The 7,650-nt window shown below is 42.1% G+C and overlaps 1 annotated feature.

Moving 5' to 3' along the window:
• Nucleotides 3,337-3,586: an enhancer, noted in NCBI's record as "active region_13431". NCBI's record gives its function as "activates an Ori minimal core promoter by ATAC-STARR-seq in GM12878 lymphoblastoid cells {active_cell/tissue: GM12878}" and the evidence as "EXISTENCE:reporter gene assay evidence [ECO:0000049][PMID:35858748]".

Below are 7,650 nucleotides of genomic sequence, written 5' to 3'. Positions count from 1 at the left end.
ACTATTGATCCCAATCACTAAAATCTCTTAGAAATTTCAGGAAATGGTATATTTTCCATCCCTTACTATTCTAGTTTAAAGCATTAAGATTGGGGAAAATCTTTTACACCTTTGTTTCTGGTTTTTTTTTCCTTTGGAATATAATTTATTTACTTTTCAATGCTATCTTTTAGGATATATTTTTTCTCTTGTCCTAAAATTATCTCTTGGTGGAGGGCACTGTTAACTTTTTGCTTTGTGTGTGTGTAGGCTCATGTTATGCTATGTGTATGCTATTTTATGCTATGTGCCTGGTTATAACACATTTATCTATTTTGGAAAGTTAATTTTTAGCAATCAGAGAACATGTTTATCTCACTTGCCAAGAATAGATACTTTACGTTTCTGTTGCATTTCTTGTCTGCAGTGTTTCTCATCTCTTCCCAATTCTTTTAAATCTTAACCACGCTTGAGAACCCAGCTTGAATCACGGCTGGTTCCAGGACTCTTCCCCGGCTCTTCCACCTGGAAATGGTCTTTTCCTCCTTCCTTCATTTATTTCGCAAATAAATATTGAGTGCCCACTCTTTGTAAGACACTGATTAGGTAATAGAAGCTATGTAAAAGTTGTGACAAATAATTTTGCACTGGTAGATATGTGTTTCTATGCAGTCATGCACTGTATAACAATGTTTCAGTTAACCTAGGTTTGTATAAGTATACTCTATGATGTTTGCACAACAGTGAAGTCACGTAATGATGCACTTCTCAGAACATATTCCCATCGTGCAGAGATGCACAAGTATATCATATTTTCTCGGTTAAATTGTGATTTACTTGGGGGTACATCCTTCTCCTTATTGTTTCTTGTATTCCTTATAAAATTTAGCAGGGTGACTTCTACATAGTAAGGGTTCAAGAAAAAGCTGAATTTATATGATTATATTTGTAAATTTTCTTTAAATATACTTAGGTATGCAAGACACAAATAGTTCTTTTCTTTTTTTCTTTTGAGACAGAGTCTTGCTCTGTTGCCCAGGCTGGAGTGCAGTGGTGCGATCTTGGCTCACTGGTTAAAGCAATTCTCCTGCCTCAGCCTCCCAAGTAGCTGGGATTACAGGCACGCGCCACCATGCCCAACTAATGTTTGTATTCTTAGTAGATACGGGGTTTCACCATGTTGGCCGGGCTGGTCTCAAACTCATGGCCACCTTGGCCTCCCAAAGTGCTGGGCTTACAGGTATGAGCCATCACTCCTGGCCTAGGACTGAGTTATTTGAATGCAAATCAGGAAATGGCACATCGGAATTTATTATTTATTTTATTTTATTTTATTATTTTCTAGAGATGGGGGTCTCTCTATGTTGCCCAGGCTGGCCTCAACTCCTAGCCTCAAGTGATACTCATCACATCAGAATTTAGGGTACAAATATAGTCCATAACAATTGGAAATTTTAGTCCAGTCACCTCATTTTCCAACGCTATGATAAACATCCTTGTGAATGCTGTTCTCCTGGTCTAGAAGGCTCTTCTCAGCCTTCTGTGTGTCTAAGGCCCACCATTCTTCATTGTCAGGTTCCACCACTTCCAGAAGACAATAACCTGTCTTCCCCAACCATTTCAGTCCATACGGGTGCCATCTCCCTCTGAACTACTGTAGCACTTACCACCTAGTTCAGCAACCAGATTTCCCCAGCAACTCTTTCTATGTGGAATTCTTGTCTATTCTACGGGATATGGACCACATTATATATATACTTCTCTTTATGCCTGTGTGTCAAATACATTACTGATTAAAGCTTGGTTTTAAAGTCCAAATGTGGTCATATTGGTGAACTGCTATAAACCTTGCAGAGGCATTAGTAAAATAAAGGACTTCTTTTGGTACAAATTAGATGTGTGACAGGCTGCTTTTAACAGAGTATTGGCTTCACACAACTTTAAGTAGTGATTTTACCAGAAATGTTTACATTAAACAGCCTTTTTAGAAAGTAAACTGTTACAACTATCTTGTAAAGTAACCTAACAATATGTATCAAGAATCTTAAAACTTTTCATACCTTTTAGTGCACCTATTTTGGGGAGTTTAACTTAAGGAAACAATCCTAAAGCAGAAAAATAAAAAGCTTTGTATGTAAACATGTTTATAATAGGATATCAGTAATATTGTTGTTCCCAAAAAAGTGAATGAGCAAATACATTATATATACGTATACATACACACACAATATTTTATATGCTGATTGTTTCCACTTGTATTTCCCTGTGTTGATACAAATTTTACTAACTACATTTTTACTAGATATGTAATATTCTCTCATGTATATATAAAATTATATGTTTTATATAACATGTATAATTTAAATTTAAATATATAATATAAATTTATAATTTATATATAGTTATATAATATATATTTTTATATATGTATGAGAGAATATGTATCTAGTAAAAATATAGTTGGTAAAATTTGTATCAACACAGGGAAATACAATAAGTGGAAACAATCAGCATATAAAATTGTATATATGACATAGTCAAAATGATACACAAAAATATGAGTAGAAAGAAGAAATGAGAGGGAATATACCAAAATGCTAAGATGAGTTTTAGTGCCTGGATTGCCATTTAGATTTTTGTCTTTTTCTTTCTACTTTTTTTCTGTTTTCCAAATCATCAAAATTGGGCATAATTTCTGAATAAAAAAGAATATAATTTCAAATATGGAGGAGGCATCAAGGATTTAAATTTCAAGTAGACAGTTTTTAGAGTTTAAACATTTTAGTGATTTCGTGTCTGAAGTATGTGATTGTCCAAATTGTTGGATCTTCCCCACCCCCGCCCCTGCCCCCAACCCCGCCAAGTGCCGTCAGGTCTGGCGAGTGTCTAACCACTTGGTGGCCAGTTTAAATCTTTCCCACAAACTTTCTAGTTTATGTTGTCCCATGAGCCCTGGGGCAGTTTGGATTTTTGCAGAACTGAGAATAAGCTATGAATGAAAAGAAGAAAATGGGATTATAGATTCCTTTCCTCCACTTTATGGCCAGAATACTAGGTAGCTCAGGAAGTTCTGAATCAGTCCTTTTTCTAGGCAAAGGCAGAAATCCTGGGCTTGGGTTCTTCAAGGTAGGCTAATCAGGGTGTCAGAGATTTTTGGTGTCCTTTTAACATCCAGGAATTACAGATAAGGTAAATCAAGCCACGAACACATAGGTACTCAGGCAGCGATTGGACAAATTTATGCTCTACTACAGCAGATACATTTTGCCAATGCTGGAATAAATTGGCAAGGTACTAAGGTTTACCTCTGTTTAAAATTCCTGCTTGGGAATATCTACCTTAGAATAACTGTTCATTTTAATCAGGTTAAAGGGCACCAAGGAACAATTCTAACAAACAGAATCAGATAATACTAGTAAAAAGGGAAAGAGAATATCCTGAGAAACAGAACTGAAACTTAAGTGATAGGAGGAAAATGAAACGAAACTGAAACTTAGCCAGCAAAGCTATTTAAAAAAAAAAAAAGTCTCGATCTTAACAGAGACCTAGCAGGTAACTATATATGAGCCAGTATTATCAAAAGTAAAACCAATAAATGTTGTACATTTTCCTACGTTACACTTGAAAGAAACTCTTAACCAGCAGTGTGAGCTGCATGACCTTGCTGCAGCCACTGACGTTCTCTGAGTCTCAGTTTACTCATCTGTGAAAATAGGTGTAACAGTACATGCCAGCCTCAATTAAATACAGAACTTCAGGGCTTGAGGGGGTCTTGGAGGTCATCAGATCTTGGCTCCTCCACTGGACCAGGGCCTTGGGGCTACCATGCTTACCTTGTTGGTGTAAGTGAGCTCTCGCAGCAGCCAGACATACTGCAGAGCCCATTGTGGGTGCAGGCAAACTGACTCCCAGGTCATGTGCAAGAGGCCATGAGAGAAGACAGGAGGATATTCAACCAATCTGGCTTCAGAAGGAGGCTCTGTGAGGACAGCTGAGTGGCCCAAGGTGGCTCAGACAGGGTACAAGCAATCGTCATCCTCAGAGTGGGACTCCATAGTGTGATAAAGCAGCCATGGAGCGGGGACAGGAGACAGGGACGGGACACCACCAGGGCAGGGGACCCATGCAGACAGGACCCTGAGCTCAGAAGGGCCCTAAATGTTCTGCCAACACCTTCTTGATATTTTTTCTTTTCTTTTTTTTTTTTTTGAGAAAAGGTTTCACTCTGATGCCCAGGCTGGAGTACAATGGTGCAAATACAGCTCACTGCCACCTCAACCTCCAGTAGTCCTCCCACCTCAACTTCTTTAGTAGCTGGGACCACAGGCGTGCCCCACCACGCTTGGCTAAGTTGTTTCTTCTCTTCTTTGTAGAGATAGGGCCTCACTGTGTTGCCCGGCCTGGTCTCAAACTCCTGAGCTCAAGCGAACCTCCCACCCTGGCCTCCCAGTATGCTGGGATTACAGATGTGAGCCACTGTCCTGGCGTCATGGTGAAATTCTTAATTTTGTTAAGAGACATCCCCACAATTTCATTTCATACAGGCTCTGCAAATTATGTAGCCAGTGCAGGGTACAACATCCAAGATCTGCTGAACAGAGGGCTGGAGGGGAGGGGTTGTGACACAGGGTGATCAGAAACTGCTCTGGGATGTGTGACACTTCCCAAGCCTCAATAAACGGTAGAATGGGAATAGACTGCTTCCTGGCCCCTCAGGACTGGCTTAGCCATGAAGGACTAACCTGGATGTTCTTGGGGACTGTGGTTGATTCCCATGGAGGCAGCTCCACAGAGGTCCTGGGCTCAAGTGTGGTACCTGAGAGAGGGTCAAGAGTCTGGTGGTTGTTGTCATTTTAAAATTTATTCTATTTTATTGATGTAAAGTTCACTCAACATAAAATTAACTAAAACCTGAAGGTAGCTTTTTACAATATTTTAAATAGTTTTGTGCACGAAACAAAGTTTGTGATAAGTATTTTTGTGTGGAATTTACCACTTGTGGCATCATATCAGCATTCAAAAAGTTTCAGATTTTGATGATGAGTCGAAAATGCATTTAATACACCTAACCTACCAAGCATCAGAGCTTAGCCTAGCCTGCCTTAAACCATGCTAAGAACATTTACATTAGTCTACAGACGGGCAGAATCTTCTGTAACACAGTTGATGTAGTTTGGATATTTGTCCTCTCCAAACCTCATGTTGAAATTGGCCAGGCACAGTCGTTCATGCCTGTAATCCCACCACTTTGGGAGGCCGAGGCGGGCGGATCACGAGGTCAGGAGTTCGAGACCAGCCTGACCAACATGGGGAAACCTCGTCTCTGCTAAAAATACAAAAATTAGCTGGGCATGGTGGCACGCGCCTGGAATCCCAGCTACTCAGGAGGCTGAGGCAGGAGAATCGCTTGAACCCGGGAGGCGGAGGTTGCAGCACTCCAGCCTGGGAACAGAGTGAGACTCCGTCTCAAAAAAATAATTATTAAAAAAAAAAAAAAAAAAAAGAGGGAGAAATTTGACCCTGTGTTGGAGGCGGGGCCTGGTGAGAGGCGTTTGGGTGGAGGTGGGGCCTGGTGAGAGGTGTTTGGGTCAGGGAGGTGGGTCCCTCATGAATGGCTTGGGTCCTGTCCTTGTCCTCACAGTAATGACTGAGTTCCTTTTCTACCGGTTCCTGCAACCAGACGGAGTTTCGCTTTTGGCGCCCAGGCTGGAGTGCGGTGGGCAATCTCGGCTCACTGCAATCTCCGATTTCCGGTTTCAGGCGATTCTCCTGCCTCAGCCTCCCGAGTAGCTGGGATTACAGGCGCCCACCACCATGCCCCGCTAATTTTTGTATTTTTAGTAGAAACAGGGTTTCACCATGTTCACCAAGCTGGTCTCAAACTGCTGACCTCGTGATCCGCCCGCCTCGGCCTCCCAAAGTGCTGGGATTACAGGCGTGAGCCACTGCGCCCGGCCTCTTGCAACATTTGACTGTTAAAAAGAGCCTGACACCTCCTTCCCTCCCTCCTCCTCCCACTCTAGCCAAGCGATGCTTTATCTCCTTCCCCTTCCGCTATGATCACAAGTTTCCTGAGGTCCTCATCAGAAGCAGATGTTGGCAGCGGGCTTCTTGTGTACCCTGCAGAATTGTGAGCCAAATAAATCTCTTTTCTTTATAATTTTTTTTTAAAGGCCGGATGTGGTGGCTCACGCCTGTAATCCCAGCACTTTGAGAGGCCGAGGCAGGCGGATCACGAGGTCAGGAGTTTCAGACCAGACTGGCCAACATGGTAAAACCCCGTCTCTACTAAAAATACAAAAATTAGCTGGGCGTGGTGGCGGGCGCCTCTAGTCCCAGCTACTCTGGAGGCTGAGGCAGGAAAATCCCTTGAAACTGGAAGGCAGAGGTTGCGGTGAGTCGAGATCGCACCACTGCACTCCAACCTGGGCGAAAAAGCGAAACTCCATCCCCCCCACCCCCCAAAAAAGTTTCAGAGTTTGGAGCATTTCAGATTTTAGATTTTCGGATTAGGGATGTTCAACTGTGTAGAATTCAGTTGTATTTGGTGCGTTCACTGTACTGCGCAACAATCCGCTGTAGCTTGCTCCAAAGCATTTGTGTGACCTGAAAGGAAATCCTGTACCCATGAAGCACTCACTCCCCACTCCCCTCCTCTCTTCAATCCCTGCCAACAGCTAAAGTATTTTTGTCTCTGTGGGATTTACCTCTTCCCAATATGCCATACAAATGCAATCCTACAATCAATGACATTTGGTGTCTGTCGTCTCACTTCTCATACTGTTTTTGAGTTCATCCCCATGGTAGAATGAAGCATGTAGCATTGCGGTATTATGGCTGAATTATATCCCATGGTAGGTGCCTACCACGTTTTATTTATCTGTTGACGGGCATGTGGGTTGCTTTGCCTTTTGGCTATTGTGAATGGTGGTGCTATGCATATTACTGTACAATTATTTGAGTACCTGTTTTCCGGTTTTTTGAGGTATATACCCAGGATGTTAAATCGTATGATAATTCTGTATACCTTTTTGAGGAACTACCAAACTGTTTTCCACAAGGGCTACATCACTTCACAATGGTTCTAACTTCTCAATATCCTCGCCAATACTTGTTACTTTCTGTTATTTTCATTTTTATTTTTTGGACGGAGTCTCGCTCTGTCGCCCAGGCTGGAGTGCAGTGGCGCGATCTCAGCTCATTGCAAGCTCCGCCTCCTGGGTTCACGCCATTCTCCTGCCTCAGCCTCCCGAGTACCTGGGACTACAGGCACCTGCCACCACGCCTGGCTAATTTTTTGTATTTTTAGGAGAGACAGGGTTTCACCTTGTTAGCCAGGATGGTCTTGATTTCCTGACCTCGTGATCCACTGGCCTCGGCCTCCCAAAGTGCTGGGATTACAGGCGTGAACCACCGCGCCCAGCCCCTATTTTCTGTTTCCCTCCCCCCACCCAACTGTAGCCATCCTCCTCATGTGTATGAAGTGTATTTTATTGTGGTTTTGATTTGCATTTCCCTAATGACTAATGGTGTTGTATCTTTTCATGTGCTTGTTGGTCATTTATATATCTCCTTTGGAGAAATGTCCATTCAAGTCCTTTGCTTATTTTTGAATTTGATTGTGTTTTTTATCATTGAGTTTTTTTTTTTTTTTCCTTAGATGGAGTTTCA

The sequence above is a fragment of the Homo sapiens genome, chromosome 18 (assembly GCF_000001405.40).
Source record: "Homo sapiens chromosome 18, GRCh38.p14 Primary Assembly".
Classification (NCBI taxonomy): Eukaryota; Metazoa; Chordata; class Mammalia; order Primates; family Hominidae; genus Homo; species Homo sapiens.
The sequence above is the reverse complement of the archived record's forward strand: the minus strand, read 5'-3'. Positions and strand labels throughout refer to the sequence as shown.